We start from the raw sequence: 27,225 nt of genomic DNA, 5'->3' as shown, positions 1-27,225 counted from the left end.
TCTTTTACTTTTCTCTTTTCCATCTTTTAAAGTTCTATGATTAGCTTGTTAATTTTTAGCATTATTGTTTTCTAATGTAAGTATTAAGACTTTAGATTTCTAAATACCACCTTAGTTGCATCTCATATGTTTTGATATGTTGTCTTTTTATTATTATTCCATTCTAAATGCCCTCTGCTTTCTAATTTTTATTTTTGACCTGTGAATTGTTTAGAGTTATGTCTTAATTTCCAATGCTTTTTTAAAAGAGCCATTAGTTTAAAATATTTTTTATTTGTATCATACTCCAGTATTTAAGATTTAAAAATGTTCTGTATGGTTTTCAAAATAGTATTTCTTCTTGTAGTTGTATTGCATTTGTGTCTACTAGATTCAGGTTGTTACTTAGATTGTTCAAACTTTTGTATGCTTCACTTATCAATTACTGAGACAGGTGTTAAAATTACCTAGCTTAATGGCAAGTTTGCCAATTTTTCTGTGTAACTCTTGTCAGTTTTTGCCCATTTTATACATTGAGGCTAGGTCAGTTAGGTATATAAAGTGTAGAATTTCTGTGTTTTCCTGATGAATTGCACCTTTTTCTAATGACAGTCATTATCTGTAGTGAAGCTTTTTGCCTTAAAGTTTCCCCTTTCTCTTCATATTAATATAAATAATATACCTTTATTTGGATATTATTTACCTGGTTTATCTTTGTCCATACTTTTATTTTCATTCTTTCTGTATTCTTGTGTTTGGATAGTTTTTGGAAACAGCATATAACTGGATTTTTCTCCTGTGGTGTGAAATCTTTGTATTTTAATGGAGCAGGGAGGCCATTTAGATTTATTATAAATACAGATTTATTTGGATATATTTCTACCATTTAAAAAGCTTTTTCTATATTTATTTTTCCGTATGTTCTCACTGTCTTTTAGATTAATTCAGTATATTTGCCAGATTTAATTTTCCCCTCTAGTTGTTTGGAAGACATAACACTTCATTTCTCTTCGGTTTGAGACTGCCCAGTTGAAATTTCCACATTTAAGTTATGAAAGTAATCACTTTCTTTTATGCTCTTCCTAAGGATCCTCTCCTGTGACTTCTAGTCTCTGTTTCTTTTAATTTAGAAAAAGATAATCTGATTGGAATAGTTTGGGTCAGGTGCCTACTTTTGGATCATAGCTATTATAAGGTGTGGAAGGTGGAGAATTTTTGTGGAGATGTGGCCACTGGGGGGTTCCTTTCCTTCACTCCTTGCATCTCTACTACCCTATTCATGAACTGTATATTGTTAACTTTTATCAGCCATTTTAGGAGATATATACTACGGAATTGCTGCAAACCCAAATATATGTAATTCCATAGTCTTTCTGTAAGACTATTTCTCTCAAATTTACAGGGTGGGGGAAATACTCTTCCTTTTTTTTTTTTTTTTTTTTTTTTTTGGTGTATACGAATATTTGAAAACTATCAAACCAGGAAACACCTCCCCCCACCACCACCTCCCAATCCCAAACCTGTCATCTCTCATTGGCTAAGCTGTTCCAAGAGCTTTGGGTTATTTGTGTTTTTTTTTTTTTTTTCCTTGTTTCTTCCATTCTTTTCCTTTGGTGCTTATCTGAGAATTCCTACGGAACTTTGAGGAAGTGTCATCAGTATTTCACAGTTAGAACGAACTATTGTCCTAACATTTCATGGAGGTTCAGGACCATGGACAGATCACATGTGCTACCTGTCTCAGTCCCACCCACATATTTTAGCAGGTTAAAATATTCTTCTGAAGTCTCCACTGGCATCATTCTTTTCCTTATAAGTTGAACTCCTCCCTATTTTTATCAGTCATCTTACAGCCAGGTCTTGCCTCTTTAAAGTTGTTTTGTTGTTGTTGTTGGTTTTTTTTTTTTTGAGACAGAGTTTCGCTCTTGTCGCCCAGGCTGGAGTGCAGTGGTGCCATCTCGGCTCACCGCAGCCTCAGCCTCCTGAGTGTCTGGGATTACAGGCATGCGCCACCACGCCCGGCTAATTTTGTATTTTTTTAGTAGAGATGGGGTTTCTCCATGTTGTCAGGCTGGTCTCGAATTCCCAATCCTCAGGTGATCTGCCCGCCTTGGAGGCGTGAGCCACCATGCCCGGCCTTTTTTTTGAGACAGAGTCTCATTCTGTCACCCAGGCTGGAGTGCAGTGGTGCAATCTCGACTCACTGCAACCTCTGCCTCCCGGGTTCAAGCAGTTCTCCTGCCTCAACCTCCCGAGTAGCTGAGATTACAGGCATGCGCCACCATGCCTGGCTAATTTTTGTATTTTTGGTAGAGATGGGGTTTCACCATGTTTGCCAGGCTGGTCTCAAACTCCTGATCTCACCTTAGGTGATCCACCCACCTTGGCCTCCCAAAGTGCTGGGATTACAGGCGTGAGCCACCGTGCCCAACCCCTCTTTGAAGTTTTTATCTCACTTATGTATAAAATACTTATCTTGCCAATACGTTTGAGTTAGTAAATAGTTTAGTCTCTGCAAAGAAATGGAGAATTAGATAGGTTAAGTAACTTATTTAATGATGGAGCCAGGTTTTGCAGTCAACTTTTTCTGACTCTGAAACCATATCTCTCAATTACTTGATATACTTCATTAAAAAAATAATTATTCTGTTCATTATACTCTTGGTTTATGACTTTAAAAATATGTTTTAAAATCAACTTATAATTTATTTTTGAAATTACAGGGCCAGGAGCAGTAGCTCACATCTGTAATACTAGCTATTAGGGAGGCTGAGGCAGAGGGTCACTTGAGACCAGGAGTTTGACACCAGCCTGGGCAACATAGTGAGATCCCAAATCTAAAATCAAAAACACCTTACACATTTGCCCAATTTTCTATTATAGTGTTCTTTTTTTTCTTACTATATTGTAAGAGCTCCTTGAATTTTAGGGATAGCAACCCTCTGACCATCATAGATTACATATATTTCCCCCATTTGTATTTTTTCTTTTTAACTTAGAGTATTTTTAAAAATAAAACTTCAGTACATAATAAAACTATCTTTTATTTAGTTAAATCTTTTCCTTTAGGGTTTTTCTTTTGGCATTCTGTTTAGAAAACTTCTTCCCCATCCAAAGAACATAAAAATATCCAATTCTGATATATCTGTGGTATATGTAGGTTACTTTTAGATTGTCTATATTGGAACTGATAATTTTAGAACACACTTTAAGAGCAGTAGGGTAAGGACCTTAATATTTCTTTTTAAATGTTTTCTTGGCTTTTCTCCTACATTTATTCTTATAGGTGACCTTAAAATTATCTTTACATTCTCTTTCTTTTTCCAAAATCTAATTTGGAAGAACTTTTAAAAAGATAAACAAAGTGGCCAAACTTTGCTTTTCACTTTTGTCATATTTTAAACATATGAAAGAGTTAAACATTAATTTATAATAGTGTTCTTACCAGCTGGATAGAAATACATTTACTTAGTACCTATATTTATTTTTTCTTTCTTTGTAATTTATCTTCTAGGAAGCTATTTTGTAAAATTTATGGTGAACCAGTTGTTGATTTATACATTATTAGTGGTGTGATAACTGAGGATGCTCGAAAGAAGGCATGTAATGAGATTGTTGCTATGGGAAGATTGAGTAGGTAACTACCCAGAATGTTTCCCATTTCTAGTACAATATCTGGTATTGAATAGGTGCTCAGTAAAGAGTTAAATACATGAAGAGTTAAATGAATACTGAAGACTTTTTTTGGGTGAATTTACTAAGCTCGTAATTTCAGCCTTATTGATCAGAATCAGAGATACAAGTATATTCAGTAGTCTTATTTATAGGAGGCAAAGTAGATGAACTAGAATGCCAGTTAGGAATTTCCAATAAAGAATATATCTATCAGCCATCAGAGTCATTTGTATCGTTCTCCCCACTGCTTTTTTTTTTCCTACAGGAAAAATTTTATCAGATGTTTACTTGAAGAATGAAACTGGAATAAGGATAGCTACTTTAGTGAATTTAAGTTCTGATAGCATGATAGGAATGATGTGCCAAGTGGATTAATATTTTTGCCCAGTGTTTAACATATCCCTCTACTGTGCACAAAAGACTGCTACCTAAATTTCTCACTCACAGATTTTCTCTACTGATAATATCTGCCTCCTGGCCACGTACTTTCTTTAGCTGTGTCATTAGCTCACCATTAGATCTTGCTCTGATTTAGTCATAATTATTTAAAAGAAAATACACAAGTTGTACATGAATATATGTTTATTTAAAAAACAGTATAATTAACATTTATTGAGCCATTTTATGCACCAGATATCACATTAAGTATTATATATTCTTATTTAATTAAAAACCCATTTTTAACCCATTGAGGGACTCAAACAGGTACTTACATGCCAGTGTTCATAGCACTGGCATGTAATAGCCACTCACAATAGCCAAAAAATGTAAACACCCCAAGTCTTCATTAACTTGTAGTTGGATAAAATGACTGTAGCATAAGCATACAGTGGAGTATTATTTAGCCATAAGAAGAGTGAATTTCTGACACATGCTGTGCAACATCACTGAACCTTGAAAACATGCCTAGTGACATAAGCCAGACATACATGATTCTGGTTATACTCAGTATATAGAATAGGCAAATTCCGTAGAGACAGAATGTAGATTAGTGGTTACCAGGCATGGGATGTGGTGGTGGGTCGGGGAGGGGATGGGGAATTATTGCTTAATGTTTACAGAGTTCTGTGTGGGGTGATGAAATTGTAGAAATAGTGATCCTAATGTTTGTACAACATTATGAATGTAACTAAAGCTACTGATGTACACTTAACAATAGTTAAAATGGCATATTTTATGTTATGTATTTTTTCCACAAAATAAAATTCAAACAACTCATGACCTAGGTTCTACTATTATCACCATTTTACAAGTGAGGTTTAGAAGAAATAAGTAACTAGTATGAGTTCATGTAGTTAAGTGACAGGCATCTAGACTTGAACTCAGGTTTGTCTGACCCCAGATGCCATATTTTTAATCAGGTGGTTCTCTGCTTTCAGAAATAAAAGTGGAGGTGCCGTCTTTCCTATTCCTTATTTCCATTCTTTTGCACAGAAATTACTTCTGATTCTTTGCTTAATTGTTTGACATGTATCCTTTTAGACCCTCTTCCTATGCATTTACTTAAGTATTTATGTGCATAAATGTGTACAACTTTTTCATTAATTTACATACACAGCATAATTAACATTGTTTATGTGACTGCTTTTTTCATTTAACAGTATGCATTAGAGATGTTTCTATTAATTCATGTGGGTCTACTTCATTTTATTTGCTGCATATGTTTCATTGTATGGATATATGTGGGTATAGTGTTTTGTGGCATGGATATCCCGTAATTTATATACCATTTCGGTATTTCCTAGGTAGTTTCCAGTTTTTCATTCTAACATACAGTATTTCAGGGCTTATACATATACTCAGAAGTGGAGTTTTTGGGCAAAAGGAATGTACATTTAAAATATTTAGTTACTGCAATATAATATTTCTTCCACTTCAAAGGATACCAGTTTAAACTTCTAACATTGGGATATGAGAGTCCTTGTTTCCTAGGAACAGAGTATTATCAGTCTTTTTTGCCTATCCCATGGTCAGTAATTGATACTTGTTACATTAGTATAAAAATCTCTGATTTACTTCCAGATGTTAGACATTTTCCATATGGTTTTCTTTTGTTTTGAATTGCCAGTGCCTATTTTTCTAATATTAATATTTCTCTTAGTGATTTGTAAAATCTGTATGTTCTATGTGTTAATTTTTTGTTACGTAAATATTTGTTACAAATATATTTTTCCAATGTTGTTTTATTTTTCTTAAACTTTGTTCGTGTTATCTTTTACCTTACAGGAGACTTAAGTTTTCATATAGATAAATCTTCTTTTTATTATTAATACTTCTGGCTATAAGGCTCTGTGTTGCTAAAACAGCTTTTTCCATTTCAATGTTATGTGAATATGCTCCATTATATTTTCCTAGTATTACTGTAGATTTTAAAAAATTGTTTCTCTAATTATGGCATTATTTTTTGAGTCGTGTGAGCTATGGATTAAAGTTTTTTTCCAAATAGTTCATCTTTCTCCCACTCATTTAAAATACCTATATCTGAGCCCATTTCTGCTTCATTGTTCTATTGGTTCAGGGGTCAGCAGACTGACACACAAGACAAATCTGGCCTACTGCCTTGTTTTTGTAAATACAGATTTATTGGAACATAGCCCCACCTATTTGTTTACATACTGTTTTTGTTTTGATTATGCAAGGGCTGAGTTGAATAGTTGGCACAGAGACTAAAGAGCTCACAAAGCCTGCAATATTTACTGTGGCCTTTACAGAAAAGGTTTGCCAACCCCTGAATTAGTCTCTTTTCTAATACCAGACTTTTTTTTAAATAAAAATATGAATATGGGCTGAGCCCAGTGGCTCGTGCCTGTAATCCCAGCACTTTGGGAGGCCAAGGTAGATGGATTGCTTGAGCCCAGGAGTTTGAGACCAGCCTGGGCAACATGGCAAACCCTGTCTCTACAAAAAATACAAAAATTAGCCAGGCGTAGTAGCATGTGCCTGTAGTCGCAGCTACTTGGGAGGCTGAGGTGGAAGGATTGTTTCAGCCCAGGAGGTTGAGGCTGCAGTGAACCGGGATCACGCCAGTACACTCCAGCCTGAATGACAGAGCAAGACCCTGTCTTTAAAAAAAAAAAGTGTGTGTGTGTATATATATATATGTATATATATATATACACACACACTATATATATACACATACTATATATATACACACACTATACACACACTATATATACACATATATATATACACTATATATATACAGAAAAAAGTATACATATATACATACACATACAAAATACACATATAAATGTGTATTAATGGGTATGTCTGTCTCCTCCCCATATCACAATATTTTATTTTATTTATATACACCCTGGTGGGGGCGTGTGTCTTTTCCTACCAGATATCAAAACTAATAAATTATAGTAAAAATAGAGTCTGGTATTGGAAAAGAAACCGACTAAAACAGAATTGGCAAACTTTTTCTGTAAAGGCTACAATAAATACTTTGGCTTTGTGAGCTGCACCGTCTGTGTGCCAGCTATTCAACTCAGCCCTTATGTCGTGAAAGCAAACGAAAACAATACATAAACAAATGGATGGGGCTTTATTCCAATAAAAACACCTGTGTTTTAAACATTTTTCATGATTATTCTGCATTTCCTTTTGCACCTGAACTTCAGAAATAGTTAACTTCAATCAGATACCACATTAGGCTTTCTTTTAAGGTGAACTTAAAAAAATGTTACTTTTCAGAGATTACATTTTATCTACAATTTTGCCATTTTAAAATACTTGATTAAGTAATGGTACTAGCTCCAGTGCCTGGGACATGGTAGGTGTACAATAAATACGTGCTACTAGTATGAATTGTCCAAGATTCTTTCTCCCATGTCTTTTGTCTGGTGATATGGTTTAGCTCTGTGTCCCCACCCGAATCTCATTTCGAATTGTTACCCCCTCGTATTGAGGGAGGGACCTGGTGGGAGGTGATTGGATCATGGGGCCAATTTCCCCCATGCTGTTTTGTGATAGTGAGGGAGTTCTCACAAGATTTGATGGTTTTAAAAGTGGCATTGCCCTTGCTTGCTCTCCTGCTGCCTTGTGAAGAAGGTGCTTGCTTCCCTTTTCACCTTCTGCCATGATTGTAAGTTTTCTGAAGCCTCCCCAGCCATGTGGAACTGTAAGTCAATTAAACCTCTTTTGTTTATAAATTACCCAGTCTCAGGTAGTATCTTTATAGAAGTGTGAAAACAGACTAATACACTGGAAAATCGCCTGTCTGATGGGTATAGATATTCATTAGCAGGCATCTATCACCTTTTATCTGATAACATCTATGTGAGTTACATACATGACATGATATAGATTGGGTTGTACATTTTTTAAATGCTTAAGGGCCAGCAAACATTCCTAAAACATTAAAATATAGTAATACTATTCCTTCCCCTCTCACAGGTCTTCTAGTAGATGATCTTATCTAAGCTTTAAGAGATCACTGGATTCCTAAAGTGATTTTATTTTGTAGAATTATGTATTCTGTTATGTATTTTAGTAACAGATTAGAACTAAATTGGATATAGTAGGGATTTCATTCATAAATTATCATTCAACACTAAATGCAAATTCTTGGCTGAAGGAGCTTATAGAAACAAAATCTATTTTGTTATAAAAATGCATAAATTAAGCATTTTCTTAGTAGGACCAAACTTTTTGTGATATGTTAGAGTGACTAACTTTTCTTTCCTAATCTTATAATATCCTTCTATAGACATTTAAAGCTTTACTTCTTTATGCCTTCCCCAACAACTTTAAACCAATGTTTTCCTGCTCTTTCTGATCTCATGCTAAAGACTGTATGCTAGATGATCTGGTTGTAAATCCCAGTTCCTTCATTTATTTGAGTATTTAAGGGCCAACAAAATTGTCAGAAATTAGTTTAAAAACGTAAATAAATGGACTATTTAGGTCACATAACTTAAATTATTTTGTTTCCTCATTTAAAATGAAGCTAGTAATGCTACCTATCTTCATAGTTTGTTGTGTGTCTTGGACAAGTTGGTATGCAAAACATAAAATGTCAAGCTTGTTAAATGGAGTTAATCTGAAGATTATGAGTCCTATTCTGATAGCCTAATTGAGAAAAAGTGCCACAAACGTGTAGTTTCAATTTACAGATGCAGAGATAAGTTATAAACTAGTGATAAACTTGGCAAAATTTCCAGGTAAGATTATCTTTCACTGGATAGAATTATATTTTGACTTCATGCTTAATATTTTTTAAGAGCATTTGCTTGGCCATAACAATACAACTAACAGTGATCGAAAACACAAGAACATTTATTACTAAATAAGTCTTGAGGCAGGCAATCCCAGGGTTGGCTCTCTGGCTCAGCAGTGTCAGTGTTAGATTGCCAGGTCTCTGAAGCTCTTCTGTTTTTCCTTTCATGGTTGCAAGACAGCTCCTAAAAGAGCGTATCATCATAGTAATATATAGAGTAGAGAGAGAGCATTCGAGAAAGGGCTTTCTCCTTGTTCTTCTTACTCATTAAGGAAAGACCCTAGAAGCTCTCAGGCCCTTTCTATTACTGGTCAAAATAATATAAAGCAAGTTTCACACAGATGCCTGACCAAACAATGGAAAAGGGGAAAGGGCTTATACCAATTATACTGGCATATACCAATTATAATTCATCATCTGGGGTAAAACAAATTGCCACTACCCAGAAATAGGGTCTGTCAATGAGGAAGAAGGGAAGATTAGTTGTTAGGTAACTAGGCAGTCTGCCACATACGATATTCATTTGTTTAAGTAACTTACAAAGTAACAAGGTTTAAAATAGTGAACAAAGCGGACTTAATCCCCGGAATTCTTGAGTTTTTTTCTTTCTCTGTTTAAGAGATGCCATTTTTGTTGGGATATTATTATGCATTTTCTTGTCTCCTGAATGCTTATAAGTGTTAGAGTTCAAACGAGGACCTTCTTTGGACCATCAGTTTTTAAAAATACATTCCTTAGAAGAAAAACATTCACTTAAAAATGTTTTATTTTTACAATTATGTATTAGTATTTCTAGTTTCAGAGAGAAGGAGAAACTAGGGTCTAGAGGATAATATACCCAAGTTCAAATAGATGGGAGGTTCTAATTGTAATATCAGTTAATAATTTTTGAATCTTTTTTTTTTTTTTTTAAGACGGAGTCTCGCTCTGTCGTCACCAGGCTGGAGTGCAGTGGCGTGATCTTGGGTCACTGCAACCTCCACCTCCCGGATTCAAGCGATACTCCTGCCTCAGCCTCCTGAGGAGCTAGGATTACAGGTGCATGCCACAATTCCGCCCGCCTTGGCCTCCCTCCCAAAGTGCTGGGATTACAGGCATGAGCTACTGTGCCCGGCCTAATTTTTGAAACTTTTTTTTATGCCCCACGTACTGTACTTAACTACTTTTCATAAATTGTTTTATTAAATCCTCATGACCCTGTGAGGGTTATGAGGTATAGGTACCTGTACAGGTAGGGAAACGAAGCCTTTTGTGTCTAAATAACTTCTCAAGGTCTCACAGCTACTAAGCGGCAATCAAACTAACACCTCAGGGTTGTTAGATGCCAAAGTGTGCACTTTTAGCACGCTTTGGTGTTTGTGCTGCTGGTCTTCCTACCACTGTGGAAGTGGTTGCTGGAATCTTAGTACACAGCATGTTAAAGTTTCTGTTAAAATTTGGTACTGTTAGTTTTACCTTGGATACAATGCAATGCAGGATTTTTTTCCTGCTGCGTCCATGAAGCCAAATCCTCAGTGTGATGACAGAAATTGCAGAAAGAATGTAAGAAAAAGGTAGCAGCACTGCCCAAATGAGGTTATACAAGAAGAGGAAGAGATAATCCATGAATATACCGAGTGGGGTATTGAGCTGGTATCTGAGGTTTCAGAAGAGGAATTGAAAAATTCTTCAGGTCCAGTTCCAGACTTACCTGAAGGAATTACAGTGGCATACACAATTCCAAAAAAGCAAGAAGATTCTGTCACTGAGGTAACAGTGGAAGATTCTTTAAAGCTTGGAAGACCTCATGGCCAAGATTAAGAATATGTACATAATGGACTGGCATATATTTTATTTCTCATGTTAAAGCCTCTTACCTTGAAATTAAAAAATTTTTAAAACTGGTAAAACTTAGGGCAACATTAATTAATGTATACTCTTAACTGAATTGTTATACTTTTTGAAAATCCCGTGACTTGCTTGTTTCTCTCCACTCCAACTAAATCATTAACTCTCCTAAAATGTATGTTTCATTCTAGTAAGAAAACCTCAAAGGATATTGTAGGATATAAATCTTATTTGAAAATATAGCCATTGAAATGTTTTGGCCTTTTGGAGTTGGGGAATGACAAATCTGATCCTGGAATCTTTTTCTTTTCAGTAATCCCTTGTGTCTGTTGCCTGAGGGACATGGACAATAAAGCAGTACATGATCCTCAGATACAGGGAGAAGGACAAGGCATATAGCTTATTTATTAGAGCCAGCAAGCATCTGCTCATTATGTTTGGAATTGCTTTCTATAAGAAAATTTTGCCCTCTACTACTAACTTGACCAAAAATGAATTTAAAATTGCCTGTGAAATAACATCCTCTCAAATGTTTGCTGATGAAATTCAAGTTGAAATGTATTCATTGCAAAAGTCTATAAACCTGTGGATTATATATTCAAAATAAGACAAAGGCAAATAAAAAGCAGCTGTCTTCATGAATAGACAAAAGTTGCTTTCAGGAAGTATAAATTATATTCTGCACTGACCAAAGAATAGAAGTTATTGCATCTGTGGAACATATATCTGGAGTTACTATACTAAAGAGCAGGGCATGAATTTAGACTAAAATCCATCCAGATTACACTCATTCTTTAGGCCACTGCTGGATACTTCATTTACATTTGATTCTTGGCTGGGCACGGTGGCTCATGCCTGTAGTCCCAGCACTTTGGGAGGCTGAGGTGGGTGGATCACCTGAGGTCAGGAGTTCGAGACCAGCCTGGCCAACATGGTGAAACCCCGTCTCTACTAAAAATACAAAAATTAGCCGGGCATGGTGGTGGGCTCCTGTAATCCCAGCTACTTGGGAGCCTGAGGCAGAAGAATCACCTGAACCTGGGAGGCGGAGACTGCAGTGAGCCAAGATCATGCCATTACACTGCAGCCTGGGTGCAGAGCGAGACTCCGTTTCAAAAAAAAAAAAAAAAAATTGATTCTCAAGGTAATGAGATATCAGCAAGGTTTGTCTTGTATAGTGGGCATAAAAGAAAAGTTCTAAATTGCCTCTGCAATGACTTGTAGTCAGTGGAAGAGTATCATTTTCCCTGATCATGACCACTATGCTGTAAATTGATATAAATTAACTTTCTCTGGAGTTACACACAAATAACGAAGATTTAAGAGAACCTTGGCTGAAATAAATTTCCAGTTGTTTGGAGGCTAATAAATACCATGCAGGTGTAACCATTAAAAAAATTATTATATAAACTACTATATTATGTAAACTACAATATTTTAGCTTTTCTGTGTGAGAAAGTGATTTTTGTTTGTTTGTTTGTTTGAGACAGAGTCTTGCTCTGTCACCCAGGCTGGAGTGCAGTGGCACGATCTTGGCTTTCTGCAGCCTCAGCTCCCGGGTTCCAGTGATTCTCTTGCCTCAGCCTCCCAAGTAGCTGGGATTACAGGCGTGTGCCACCATGCCTGGCTAATTTTTGTATTTTTAGTAGAGACGAGATTTCACCATGTTAGCCAGGCTGGTCTTGAACTACTGACCTCAAGTGATCTGCCCACCTCTACCTCACAGGGTGCTAGGATTACAGGCATGAGCCACTGCACCCAGCCAAAAATGATTTCATAAAAATTGTTAAAAATCTGTAGCTGCTTTGTTACCTTCATTAACTCTTTGTGATTAAAGTTGCAAGTTTATTGCAGTAATGGGAATGTGTTAGATTAATGTTTAGGTGAGTTATATTTTAAAATCTGTGTAGTATATTTATAGTTCACCCAGTAATTAGAACACCGTATCTTAATTCCTTATTGTTCCTCTAGTGTGTCACAGGAGGTAGAGTTTATTGATGCTGGGATTGCGGATGTGAAAATAACATTCTCAGGGTATCTTATGACTTAAAAGGCCGATTTTTTAACCAGTGATATTTTCTGTGATTGTCTATAATTTGGTTTAAATTTATACTTAATAAGGGCCAGAATACATGGCTATATTCTTAGTATCCTTTAGAACATTATTTCTTAGTCAAAGTTTATGAGGCATCTAGCAACATTTTACATGATATATAAAATTGGAGGTAAATGTGCTTTTTCTTGGGAGGAATTCATAGCCTTAAACTATTCTTGGAGGAGTGTATGATTCTCTCTCTGTACTTTCCCCTGTTTTTCAATTATTGCTTCAGAGTATTTTTTTTTTAAGTTTGAGTACTTTAAACAGCATAGAGAAGTAAATCAGTGACTTAAAAATTCATTATTTTGTCCTATATGCACATGTTAATATATCATTACATTTCAGTGGCAGTATTTTTCATTTCTTGTTTTACTTGGTTAATTTTCAAATCTCTGTTCTTTCATTATTTGTATTTCTTCTATCTCTTGAATCATTGTTACCCACTTCATGGTATTTTTCAGATTGTATTATTCTCTTGAGTTCTTGAGGGTACTAATCTTCCCATTTGTTTTGATTGCCAACTTTCCCCATTTTGGTGTTCTATTTCCTCATTTAGTTTAATTTTTTTTCAATTGTGAGCTCACTTTTGACTGAGGTAGATTTTTCTGGGATGAGTTCCTTTCCCTCTGAATGCTTTTGCTTCTGTGGGATAGGAACTAGATTTAATATTAATTTCTTGGCAGAGGATTTCTTTACCACATGGGCAGTATGGATTCAGACTCCAAACCCTCATGTTTTCCTCTTATGCTGCCCCCCACCAACACCCTAGGTTGCTTCACTGGACAAGAATCAGAATTTTTATTATTCCCTGACATGGGGAAAGGGTCCTGGTTTTAATGAGAGGTAATCATTCCAGTCCTCTACCTCTGTTAAGCCACCAGCAATACCTTCATTCGTTGTGGATCGAATGATCCCTAACAGGCACCTGTTAGGGCCTGTGTCCAGGACTTTTGCTTTTGCAGCATCTATTCCTGTGTTTAAAGTTTTGATTATTTTTCTTTATTTCTAATTCTTGGGGATTTCTCTTCCTTTCTTCTCCTTCATTAGTTTGATTGTATATTTAAAATCTCTCATGGTTGTTTGTTTTATTTAGCATTTCTATGTGTATTTGTGTATGTGTGGGTCTGTGTTACTGCTTACTGTGTTGTCAAGCCCATATATGCACAAGGACTATTTTGAAACTTTGTTTAATAATAACTCAGGCTAGGTGCAGTGGCTCAGGCCTGTAACCCCAGCATTTTGGGAGGCCAAGGCAGGCAGATCACCTGAAGTCAGGAGTTCAAGACCAGCCTGGCCAACATGGTGAAACCCCGTCTCTACTAAAAATACAAAAATTAGCTGGGCATGGTGGCACGCACCTGTAATTACAGCTACTTAAGAGGCTGAGGCATGAGAATTGCTTGAATCCTGGAGGTGGAGGTTGCAGTGAGGTGAGATCACACCACTGCACTCCAGCCTGGGCAACAGAGCGAGACTCTGTCTCAAAAAAAAAGAAAAACTCAATTATTCTGTTAAAAAATTTTAATATGAAAGATACTGGTGCTTAAAGGTGAATAATACTGTTTTTAACCTTCATGTGTCTGTGATTGTAAAAAGTCTCAAATATACCACCTGTAACTTTGTTCTTTGTATATTTTAACTCATTAATGTATAGTCACAGTATTACAGAATTTAGACACAGAGCCTGGCATAATTGATAACAGTTTTAACATGGCTTTATTAACTACTCTTTTCTCATTCTTCCCTATTCTCTTCTAGTCTCCCTTTTGCATGGATTATTCTCTTTTCCTGCCCTACTGTTGGTTCCAGATTCTTATGTTATTCCATTGCAGATAAGGGAGAAGAAGAATGGTAGAATGGAAACCCACTGGAGAAATTCGAGACGAAAGAGAAGAAGGAAAATAATGGGTGAAGGGAAGGTTAAAATTTCTTGCTCCAGCACTCTCTGTTCTCTTCCAGGCCTTATCTTACTCCTTCAGACTCTGTCTTCATTTCTCATCTTTTCTTCTCACTTATGCCTCTGCCTTTCCACTCTCTCTTTCTATTGGACACTTTCTTTCTGACACCATGGTAGCTATCACTAGTGGCTTGCAATCTATGTTCCTACCACCTGGCCAGTAGTTGTAGGGAGGAAGGAGGTTGGATGGGAGAATTGAAGGAGACTCTGTTGTTGGATCTTGGGCTACACAGAGTAGGGAGAAAGATGTACCTTGCAAGGTATACCAGGCATTTTGTATTGGAACTTTGAGTTCTTTTTCTTCTAGAATTATTCATTTATCTGTTCATTAAACAGTAAACAATGAACCCCAGGCAGTGTTTTAGGAACTCACATAGAAACATACTTTGTTCTTTTCAGTTTCAGAGATCTTTTTTATTTAACTTAGAATTATTTCACTTTTGAATCTCTTAATTTCAGCATCTGTATTTATTTCAAACCTTTTGGGAATAAAGAGGCAACTTGTTATGTTGGAAAGGCTTTTGGAGCCTGATAGATCTGAGTTTTAATCCTGTCTTTGCCACTTACTAGGTATTTAATATTCAGGAATTTATATTATCTTTCTAAACCTTTTTTTTTTTTTTCTGTAAAATGGGAAGTTCTTAGTATGGTACTTGGCTTAGATGGCTCCCAATAAAATAATGCCTGCTAAGATTATTATTATCACACAGAAAGTTTGTCCTTAGTACCAAATCAATTTTTTTTGTTTTTGTTTTTGTTTTGCCAAGAAGTACTTTTAAAACTAGAGTACATTAAGACAATGATTAAAGGATTCTGTTTTGTTTATTTTTATATCACATTCTTGAAGTTTGGACAAGTTGTCATAATTTACATAAAACTATTACTTCTAAGCTATTACTTCTAAGTTGGTGTGTCCTTCTCTGAGCTAGCAGTGTCATAGTAGTACTGTGACTTACTAGTCAAGTTTAGGCCAGCAAGTCACATACTATGTTTAGGCCTTATAATATTAATGAGGGTTAATAATATGTACCTTATGGATTTTATGATAACTAAATTACGTATTAGTTTGGAAGCTAACCGTGTCTAGTTGTGAGCTAAAAACCAAGTATTTAGTGTAAGATTCAGGCTTGTTCGGGAAATACAAGGCGGGGATGCAATCAAATGTCAGGAATCGCCAGAACACCGGGAATAAGGAAGCTATCGGAACACTTCCTTTTCTCATTGTCTTTGCCTTTCTCTATGCATCTGCTTTGTTTTTCTCTTTCATTATGTGGAACTGATTTTCTCTTTTGCTTTTAGAGTCATAGTAGGATGTTTGCCTCAACACTTGCTGAGTTTGTATGTTAATTCTTGTAATCATCTGCAGAGACTGACTCTGAGTTAGGTTTGAAATTACTTGTCCCCCAGCTTAGGTCAGATTTCCATATTGGTTCAGTTAACACTGGCCAGTTAAATGGGGCCTCACAATATGCACTTGGCCCACCCCTGAGAACTGAGGGGGAGATTTTCAGAAAAAGGGAGGGAGGCGGCGTGGCAGATACCTCAGAAAGTGTGTGCCACAAGTGAAGTCATTTAAGTATACAGCACTGAAGAAAGTCAAGGTATTGTTATCATTAGATGATGTAGTACTTTGTGAAATATCACTAATAGCATCTATTCAGAATAGCATGTCATTTATCTACCAGCGCAACAGATCTGATTAGTCCCTTATATGCCCTTGATTTTTGTCAAGGGCAGTAGCGTAGTGATTATTATATCTTTTTCAATTGTTGTAATGAATATAAAGTCTTTTGCAATTTGTCTTTTATATTCAAAATTATTTTAATCATAGAGTGTGCTTGAAATGAACTTTTTGGTGGATATAATTTTTAAGAACATATCTTTGTATAAAAGCACTTTTGTTAAATATTGCTAATGAACTTTTTTCAGGAATAAGTTGAACGTATAATCAGTTTTTTTTCAAATGCAGCATAGAAATAAGAAATATTCAAGTAATTGATACATGATTCTTTTGGTTCTATCATTGAATTTCTGAACTCTCAGCTATAACTTGTTAAGGCATCTTTTAAATTATCCCAGACATTATGAATGGAGTGCTCAGTAATGATTTGTATAACCCTTAGCTTTGTTTTGATTCATTTTCTTTATACTACTTAGGGTATCATCATATGACAAGATAACTGTATACCCCTGTATAGACACTTAATATTGTTAATATTTATTGTTCTGTGTTCATATTTACCCCAAATTAGAATAGTCAATAGGTATAATTTACCTGAAGTGTCAGCTCTGCAGCACACTTTTTCTGAATTTCTGATTTAGTCTGGGTGGGGGAGCTAGGTTTCGGTTTAAGGATGCCTTTGTTTTGTGATTTTGTGATATAGTAGAAATCAAAACTGCTTTTAAGTATAGAAGACTGGTGTTACAATTATTTGGGGGGATAGTCAGGCTCCCATTTTCAGTTCTTTTTTTTTTTTTTTTTTCCCGGACAGGGTTTCACCCTGTTGCCCAGGCTGGAGTGTAGTGGCGCCCTCTAAGCTTACTGCAGCCTTCATCTCCTGGGCTAAAGTGGCCCTCCCACTTCAGTCTCCTGAGTAGCTGGGACTGCAGGCACAAGCCACCGTGTCTGGCCGATTTTTATATTTGTATTTTTGTAGAGACAGAGTTTTGCCACGTTGCCCACGCTGGTCTTGAACTCTTAGACTCAAGCAATCCGTCTGCTTTGGCCTCCCAAAGTATTGGGATACAGGCGTGAACCACCACACCCGGCCCCATTTTTAGTTCTAGTAGGTCTGTATGTATCTCCCACCTTGTCAAACTTGTGTGTAATTTTTTTTAAAAAAGGTTTCACCCACCTTGTCAAACTTGCGTGTGATTTTTAAAAAAGTTTTCTTCCTTTTTTTTTTGAGACAGAGTCTCACTCAATCGCCCAGGCTGGAGTGCAGTGGCATAATCTTGGCTCACTGCAACCTCCGCCTCCTGGGTTCTAGTGATTCTCCTGCCTCAGCCTCCCAAGTAGCTGGGATTACAGGCGCCCATTTACTACCATGCCCATTTAATTTTTGTATTTTTGGTAGAGACAGGGTTTCACCATGTTGACCAGGCTGGTCTTGAACTCCTGACCTCAGGTGATTCACCCGCCTTGGCTTCCTACAGTGCTGGGATTACAGGCCACTGTGCCCAGCATCTTCCTATTTTGTTTTAAAACAGCTTTACTGACATGATTGACATACCAAACAATTCACCTGTTTGAAGTATACAATTCAGTGGTTTTGATATCTTACTAATTTTTAAAAATTGTGGTAAAATACATATAACAAAATTTGCCATTTTGACCACTTTTACATGTACAATTCAGTGGCATTAAATTATATTTATAATATTATGTAACAACCATCACATAGCTGTCTCTAAAACTTTTTCATTATCCAAAGAGAAATTCTGTAACCATTAAGCCATAAGTTTTCATTCTCCTGTCCCCCAGCCCTTAGTAACCTTTAATCTACTTTCTGTCTCTATGAATTTGCCTATTCTAGATATTTCATTTAAGTGACATAATATATTTGCCTTTTAATGCCTGTCTTACTTTACTTAGCATGTTTTCAAGATTTATCCACATTATAGCACGTATCAGACCTTAACTTCATTTTAAAGCTGCTTAACATACTGGTGTGTGTGTGTGTGTGTGTGTGTGTGTGTGTGTGTGTGTGTCTGTATATATATATCACATTTTGTTTATCTGTTCATCTCTTGATGGACATTTGGATAATTTCCACCTTTTGGCTACTGCGAATAATGCTGTCATGAACATCATTGTACAGATATCTGTTTGAATCTCTTCTTTTGATTCTCTTGGGTACATAGGAATGGAATTGCTGGGATATGTTGGTAAATCTATGTTTAGCTTTTTGAGGAACTACCCAACTGTTTTACAAAGCAGCAGTAACATTTTATATCCCCTCTAGCAATGAATGAGGGTTCCAGTTTCTCCACATCCTCTTCATCACTTGTTATTTTCTGTTTTATTTAATTAATTTAAAAAATTCAGCTATTGTAGAGGTTGTGAAGTGGTATCTCATTGTGGTTTTGGTTTTCATTTCCTTAATGATTAGTGATGTTGAGTATCTTTTCATATGTGTTTTGGCCATTTTTATATATCTTCATATATATATTATTTTACTTTTAAGTTCTGGGATACATGTGCAGAACATGCAGGTTTGTTACATAGGTATACATGTGCCATGGTGGTTTGCTACACCTATCAACCTGTCATCTGTGTTTTAAGCCCCGCGTGCATTAGTTATTTATCTAATGCTTTCCCTCCTCTTGGCCCCCACCCCAACAGGCCCCAGTGTGTGATGTGCCCCTCCCTGTGTCCATGTATGTTCTCATTGTTCATCTCCCACTTATGAGTGAGAACATGTGGTATTTGGTTTTCTGTTCCTGTGTTAGTTTGTTGAGAATGATGGTTTCCAGCTTCATCCATGTCCCTGCAAAGGACATGAACTCATTCTTTTTTCATTTTTATTTATCTTCTTTGGAGAAATGTTTATTAAAACTTTTGCCCATTTTTGAATTGGGGTTTTTTGTTGTTGACTTGTAGGAGTTCTTTGTATATTCTGGTATTAATTCCTTAGTAGATACATGATTTGCAAATACTTTTCCCATTCTATGGGTTGTCTTTTCTCTCTCTCCATATGAATTTTAGGATGAGTTTTTCTATTTCTGTAATGCCATTGTAATTTTGATAGGGATTGCTTTGAATCTGTGGATTGCTTTGGGTAACATTGTCATATTAACAATATTAAGTCTTCTTCCAATCTAGAATACTGGATGTCTTTTCATTTATTTAAGTCTTCTTTAATTTTTATCAGCAATATTCTGTAGTTTCCAATGTACAAGTCTTTCACCTCATTGGTTAAATTTATCTTTAAGTACTTTATTCTTTTGGATGCTGTTGCAAATGGAATTTTATTATTATTAATTCTTTTATTACTGCTTTTTAAGAGACAGGATCTTGCTGTTTTGCCCAGGCAGGAGTGCAGTGGTATGATCATGACTCATTGCAGCCTCGAATACCTGGGCTCAAGTTATCCTCCTGCCTTAGCCTCCTGTGTAGCTAAGGACTACAGGCATATGCCACCACGTTCAGCTAATTTTTTTCTCTTTCTCTTCTCTGTTGTGTCAATTCCAGATAGAAATCCTCTCTCTCTTTCCTTTCCTTACAAAACACAAATACAGAAATCCCTAGTGGACTTGACTAAGCAGTGTGGAATACCCGTTTTCGAAGCTAGTTAGAGCTAAATGCATACTTTTAGATCAGAGCAAACTGTATGACCTATCTGTTTCACTCCCCTAATGCTCAAATATGTATCTTTGATCTTATCACACTCTGGCTCCATGGAAGGAAGAGAGAAGACAGCTACACCCATGTATTATGATCCTTTAATCATATCAGTTCCTTTTTGTGTTAGAATAAAGAGGGACCTGAGGAGAGGAAAGGAGACACGTTTAAACTTCTCTTAGAGGCAGCAGAATATGTAATTGCTCTAATCATTAAACATTTTTAATTTACCAGTTAAAATTATTAATAAGATTACATCTAAATTCCTTTAATGAAATTCAAAGCCTTTTCCATTTTCTAGCTCTTATTTCTTTGCATTTCTTCTCACAATTCTTTACCATGGATTATTTACCATTAACACCCCAAATTCACTTCCTCGCCTCTCTTCATTTGCTTATATTGTTCCCTCTTGCCTGGAATATCTACATTGTCAAACCCAGGCAAAGCAGCAAGATTCTATTTAGTCCTCAAGGTTCAATTTATCTGTTATCTCCTTTGTGTGAAGCATTAGTATCCACATAATTAGTGTTCTATTCTCACTAATTCTGAAGCACTTAAAACTTTATCACATTATTAAATTTTGTGTCTGCATATATGCATACTTGTCTTTCTTGAATGAAGACTAAGAGTTTCTTGAAGGAAAGTATCATATCATAATCAAATTTTTAAAAACTCCAGTCATTGCCACCATGCTTTGTATACTGTAGACGTTTGCTAACGCATTTTAAAGGAACAAATGAATGAGCGTGAAAGAAACATGAGTTTACTTGGTGGGAATTGCTGAAGAGCTCTCTGGTGCCATGAAATCTGCTTTTATTTTTTATATCTTTGTGTTAAAATATATATTTAATGCTGATAGAATGTTAAAACTGGTCTCATTTTTACATCCCCCTTGCTTTGCATTCTTTTATATGTTATTTGGAGTTTAAACATACATTTCTCACCAAAAATGTAATTCATATGTAAGAAATAAAAGAAAATATATTGTTTTCTTAGGGAAATTAAATCTGTTTATTCTCATATAGTTTGGGATTTTTAAATATTTTGACAATTCTTAAATCATAATTTGAATTTTTGTGTAACTAAGAAACACCATTATTTATATCTAATTTGCATCACATTTTATTAAGAAAATAATTGATATTGCTCTTTCATTTCAGCTAAACCATTTACTTCTAAAGTGAAACAAATGCGATTACATAGAGAAGACTTTGAAATATTAAAGGTGATTGGTCGAGGAGCTTTTGGGGAGGTAAGAGATTAAGATTTGATAGAAGGTCTGCTAATTATTTTGGAAGCTGTTGAACACAATTGTGAGAGAATTTAACAAGTATTGTTACTTGTTACTTGTTAAACAATATTTGTTAAGTTGTGATTGATGTGATTGATTGTGCTGTTGTGATTGATATAATAGCTCAGAAAATAAAGTGTTGAATGAAATATTTCTACTGGGAATTTTTTCTAAGATCATGTTTTCACATGTACTTCATATGTCAATGTAAATATGAGTGTGTTTCTAGACTCTTCTTTTGTTCTGTTGGTCTGTCTTATTCTAGTTTATAAGGAATCTTGATACCTGGTAGTGTATATACTCTGACTTCCTTTTTCTCCCCCTCTCCCATCTCTCCTCCCCTGATATTTTCATAGTATTTTATTTTATGTATGAATGTATGTATGTATGTATGTATGTATGTATGTATGTATGTATTTATTTATTTTTGAGATGGAGTTTCCCTCTGTTGCCCAGGCTGGAGCGCAGTGGCATGATCTTGGCTCACTACAACCTCCACCTCCCGGATTCAAGTGATTCTCCTGCTTCAGCCTCCCGAGTAGCTGGGATTACAGGCGTCCGCCATCAGGCCCAGCTAATTTTTGTATTTTTAGTCAAGTTGGGTTTTTGCCGTGTTGGTCAGGCGGGTCTCAAATTCCTGACCTCAAGTGATCTGCCCACCTTGTCCTCCTAAAGGATATTTTCATAGTATTTTAGAATCAGTTTTTCAATTTCGACTCACTTGTAAAGATACACATGCACGCGCACGCGCGCGCGCTCTCTCTCGCTCTCTCTCTCGCTCTCTTTCTCTCTCTCCCTCCTCTCTCTCTCCTCTCTCTTCTCTTGTCTCCTCTCTCTCTCTCTTTTTTCCAGGAATTTGGGTAAAGTTTGTATTGAAACTGGAGATCAGTTTGCAGACAATTGGCATTTTAACAATACTACTGAGTCACCTAATCCATAGACGTGGTATATTCTTCCATTTATTTAGGGCTTTATAAATTTATCTCAATACCGTTTTGTAGTGTTCATTCAGTATAGAAGACCTCCACATCTTTCAGCAGATTTATTCCTGGATATGTGATAGTCTTGATATTATTTTAATTAGAATTGTTTGTGAAATTTCATTTCTTAATTGTTTTCTTGGTAGTAGTTAGAAGTAGAATTTAATTTTATTGATCTTATACCTTGTTATACTTTTCAAATAGGAATTTTGTTGAATTTTATTAATACTTTATCTGCATCTTTTGGGACACTCATGGTTTTTCTCCTTTACTTTGTTAATGTGTTGAATTATGCTGTTATATTTTCAGATGTTAAACAATCTTTGCATTCCTAAAATAAGCCCAACTGACTTGTGATATGTTACCCCCTTTATATGTACCAACGGACTTCATGTGCTTTTTGTGTGTTGATAGGATCTTTGCACCTGTGTTCTTCAGATAAATTGGCCTGTAATTTTCCTACTTCGAATGTTCTGATCAGATTTTGGTATCTTGGTTATACTGGTCTTACAAGAAGAGGGAAATGTTCCCTCCTTTAGTATTCTCCAGAAGAGTTAGTGAAGATTGTTATTATTTTTTTCCTGATATGCTTACAAGATTTAACTGGTGAAGCCTCTGAGACCAGAGGTTGCTAGTGAAAAAGTTTTAAATAATGTTTAATTTCTTTAATGGAAATAAAATGACTTGTTCTGTGTATGTATTAGTTTTGCTAGGTTTATCCATTTCATCTAATTTTTAAAACTTGTTACTGTATTGATCATTTCTCTCTCTTTTTATTTTTCTTGCTAGGGGTTTATCAGTTTATTATCTTTTCCATGAATTAACTTTTGGCCTTTTGAATTTTGTTATTGTAGATTTGTTTTCTGGTTCTTTAATTTCTGCACTTTATAATATTTTCTTTGGTTTTATCTTGCTATTCTTTTTCTGATTTTTCAAAATAGCATTGATATCTAGCCCTTCTTTTCAAACCTGTGTTTAAGGCTATATGTTTTCCTCTAAGCATTTTTAGCTATAGCAGACATATTTTGGTATGTCATATATATGTATATATTTTTTGCTTAAAATACAGTGTGATTTTAAATTTTTGTTTTTGATCTATGAATTTAAAGTTCATTAAAAAAATTTCTAAACATTTAGAAAATTTTCTAGTTTTTCTTATTGAGTTATAATGTAATTTAAAAGTGGTTAGAACGCATACTCTATGTGATTAGAATCCTTTGAAATTTGCTCTGCAGTGTTCTGTAAATATCAGTTAGGTCAAGTTCAAAATCTTGTTTAAATCTTCCATATCCTTACTGTCATTTCCTGAGGGAGGATTTCTTTATTTCTTTCAGTTTTTGCTGATAACAAATGTACAGTTATTATATCTTCCTGGTGATTAACTCATTCGCTATTATGGAGTGTTCCCATGATCTCTATAGTGTTTTTTGATTTAAATTTTCCTTAATCTGATATTAGTGGAACTACTCCAGCTCTTTTTTATTAGTATTTTCATTAAATATCTTATTCTGTCCTTTTCGTTTTAGCTTTCTATAAGCATATGGTATGTTTACTGTTCAGTAGAATATAATTAGATTTTGTTTTTTAATCAGTTAACATGTAATGATGTTACTACTTGTTTTATATTTGTTTTGCTCATTTTGTGTTGTTTTTCTCTCATTTCTTGCTTCTTCTTCGATTAATGGAATATTTTAAATCATACCTCCCAATTTTATCTTCTTTTATGTGTTCCCCTGGCAATTACCACATGTATCCTTGGTAAATTTATATTTTGCCAATTCCCATTTACCCAATTTCTACCTTTTTTTTTTCATTGCTGTCATATATTTTAGTTCCATTTATATTTGAAACCCCAACATATATATTGTACCTATTTATTTAGGTTTACCCACATATTTGTATTTTCTCTGCTCTTCACATTCATGTACTTCCCTTTGGGATCATTTTCCTTTTGACTTAAAAATTCCCTTTAATAGTTCTTTTTAATATTTAGAGACAAAGTTTTGCTTTGTCTCTCTGGCTGCAGTGCAGTGGTGTGATCATAGCTCACTGCAGCCTTGAATTCCTGGGCCCAAGTGATCCTCCTGCCTCAGCATCCTGGGTAGCTAAGACTATAGCTGTGCACCAGCATGCTTGGCTAATTTGTAAATTTTCTTGTAGTGACGGGGTTTTCCTACGTTGCCTAGGCTGGTCTCAAACTCCAAGGCTCAAGGAGTCCTCCTGCCTCAGCCTCCCAAAGTGCTGGGATTACAGTTGTGAGGCACTGTGCCTGGCCCTCTTTAGTATTTCTTCAGTGTAAGTCTGCTGATAACAAATTATCTGATTTTATTTGTCTGAAAATATATTTTTTGAGGTCCTAAAATTAAAAAAAATTGAAGTATATTATGGTATACACACACACACATACACACACACACACACTTCAGTTTCAAAAAATATACACACATATAACTCGATGGATTTTTACATTTTTTTAGGGTACAAAACAAGCAATAGCATTTTATTGTTATGCCATTTGACCATAGCATTCTTTTTTTATTTTTTATTTTTTTATTTGAGATGGAGTTTTGCTCTTGTCGCCCAGGCTGGAGTGCAGTGGTGCAATCTTGGCTCACTGCAACCACTGCCACCCGGGTTCAAGTGATTCTCCTGCCTCAGCTTCCCGAGTAGCTGGGATTACAAGTGCCCACTACCATGCCTGGCTAGTTTTTGTATTTTTAGTAGACATGTGGTTTCACCATGTTGGTCAGGCTGGTCTCGAACTCCTGACCTCAGGTGATGCACCCATCTTGGCCTCCCAAAGTGCTGGGATTAACAGGTGTGAGCCACCATGCCTGGCCTTATTATTATTATTTTTTTTAATTTTTGTGGGTACATAGTAGGTTTATATATTTATGGAGTACGTGAGATATTTTGGTACAGGCATGCAATGCTTAATAATTGCATCATGGAAAATTGGATATCCACGTTATTTCAAAATGGACATTCAAGCATTTATCCTTTGTGTTACAGAAAATCCAGTTGTACTCTTAGTTATTTCAAAATGGACAACTAAATTATTATTGGTCCTTTGTGTTACAAAAAATCCAGTTGTACTCTTTTAGTTATTTCAGAATGGACAATTAAATTATTATTGACTACAGTCCCCCTCTTGTGCTACCAAATACTAGGTCTTCGTCATTCTGTTTTTTTTGTACTCATTAATCATCCCCATCTCCTTTTTCTCCACATCCTCACCAGCATTTGTTATTGCCTGCCTTATGGATAAAAGTCATTTTAACTGGGGTGAGATGATACCTCATTGTAGTTTTGATTTGCATTTCTCTGATGATCAGTGATGTTGACCACTTTTTTCATATGCCTGTTTGCCATTCGTATGTCTTTTTTATAGAAAGGTCTATTCAAATCTTTAGCCCATTTTAAAAATTGGATTATCAGATTGTTTCCTATAGAGTTGTTTGAATTCCTTGTATATTCTGGTTATTAATCCCTTGTCAGATGAGTAGTTTGCAAATATTTCCTCCCATTCTGTGGGTTGTCTCTTCACTGTGGTTTGATTCTGTCTCTTCACTGTGGGTTGATTGTTTCCTTTGCTGTGCAGAAGCTTTTTAATTTCGTGTCATCTTATTTGTCCATTTTTGCTTTGGTTGGCTGTGTTTTAAGAAATTTTTGTGCAGACCAGTGTCCTGGAGATTTTCACCAATGTTTTCTTTTAGTAGTTTTATACTTTGAGGTATTAGACTTAAATCTTTAATCCATTTTGATTTGTTTTTTATGTAAGGTGAGAGATAGGGATCAAATTTCCTTCTTCTGCATATGGTTATCCAGTTTTCCCAGCACCATTTATTGAAGAGACTGTCTTTTCCCTAACATTCTTGGCACCGTTGTTGAAAATTAGTTCCCTGTATGTATGTGGATTTCCTTCTGGGTTCTTTATTCTGTTTCATTAATCTATGTGTCTGTTTTTATGTCAGTACCATGCTAGTTTGGTTACTGTAGCTCTGTAGTATCATTTGAAGTCAGGTAATATGATTCTTCCAGTTTTGTTCTTTTTGCTTGGGATAGCTTTGGCTATTCTGGGTCTTTTGTAATTCCATATAAATTTTAGGATTATTTTTTCTATTTCTGTGAAAGAATGTCATTAATACTTTGACAGGGATTGCATTGAATCTGTAGATTGCTTTGGGCAATATGGATATTTTAACAGTATTGATTCTTCTAACCCATGTACATTGAATATTTTTTCAGTTTTTTGTGTCCTCTTCAGTTTCTTTCATCAGTGTTTCATCAGTATATTGATGTATGTGTGTGTGTGTGCATACCTCACATGTATGTTTATATACTTCAATTAAAAAATACACATAGATAACTTGATGAATTTTTACATTTTTTTGTAGGGGACAAATAAATAATAGCATTTTATTCTTATGCCATTTGACCATAGCATTTGTGTTCTGTAGTTTTCACTGTAGACATCTTTTACTTCTTTGGCTGATTTAAATCCTAGGTATTTAATTTTATTTGTGGCTATTGTAAATGGGATTACTTTTTTCATTTCTTTTTCAGATTGTTCACTGTTGGCATAGAGAAATGCTACTGATTTTTGTATGTTGATTTTGTATCCTGCAACTTTACTGAATTTGTTCATCAGTTTGAATAAGTTTTTTTGTGTGTGTGTGTGGAGTCTTTAGGTTTTCCAAAATATAAGACCATATCATCTTCAAACAAGGATAATTTGACTTTTTTCTTTCCAATTTGGACACCTTTCATTCTTTCTCTTGTTTAATTGCTCTAGCTAATACTTAAAGAACTATGCTGTACTTGAATATTGATATCTTTCTCTAGAT

General features: G+C 35.3%; 1 protein-coding gene and 1 pseudogene across 25 annotated transcripts in view; both read left to right on the top strand.

Moving 5' to 3' along the window:
* Window positions 1-27,225, top strand: part of CDC42BPA (CDC42 binding protein kinase alpha) — a 328,635-nt gene that overhangs the window by 43,070 nt on the left and 258,340 nt on the right. For 23 of the 25 annotated variants that reach the window (NM_001366011.1, NM_014826.5, XM_047432364.1 and 20 more), the window contains exon 2: window positions 21,268-21,359. The exons of 1 other annotated variant lie outside the window; for it this stretch is intronic. In NM_001366011.1, the coding sequence (NP_001352940.1) occupies window positions 21,268-21,359 (92 nt within the window). Of the gene's footprint in view, window positions 1-21,266; window positions 21,360-27,225 lie in introns of those variants that run through there. One more of the 25 variants, XM_047432346.1, reaches the window with a different exon arrangement.
* UBA5P1 (UBA5 pseudogene 1) lies at window positions 10,233-12,097 on the top strand (annotated as a pseudogene).

The sequence above is a fragment of the Homo sapiens genome, chromosome 1 (assembly GCF_000001405.40).
Source record: "Homo sapiens chromosome 1, GRCh38.p14 Primary Assembly".
NCBI classification, from domain to species: Eukaryota; Metazoa; Chordata; class Mammalia; order Primates; family Hominidae; genus Homo; species Homo sapiens.
This window is presented reverse-complemented; position numbering and strand designations above follow the sequence as displayed.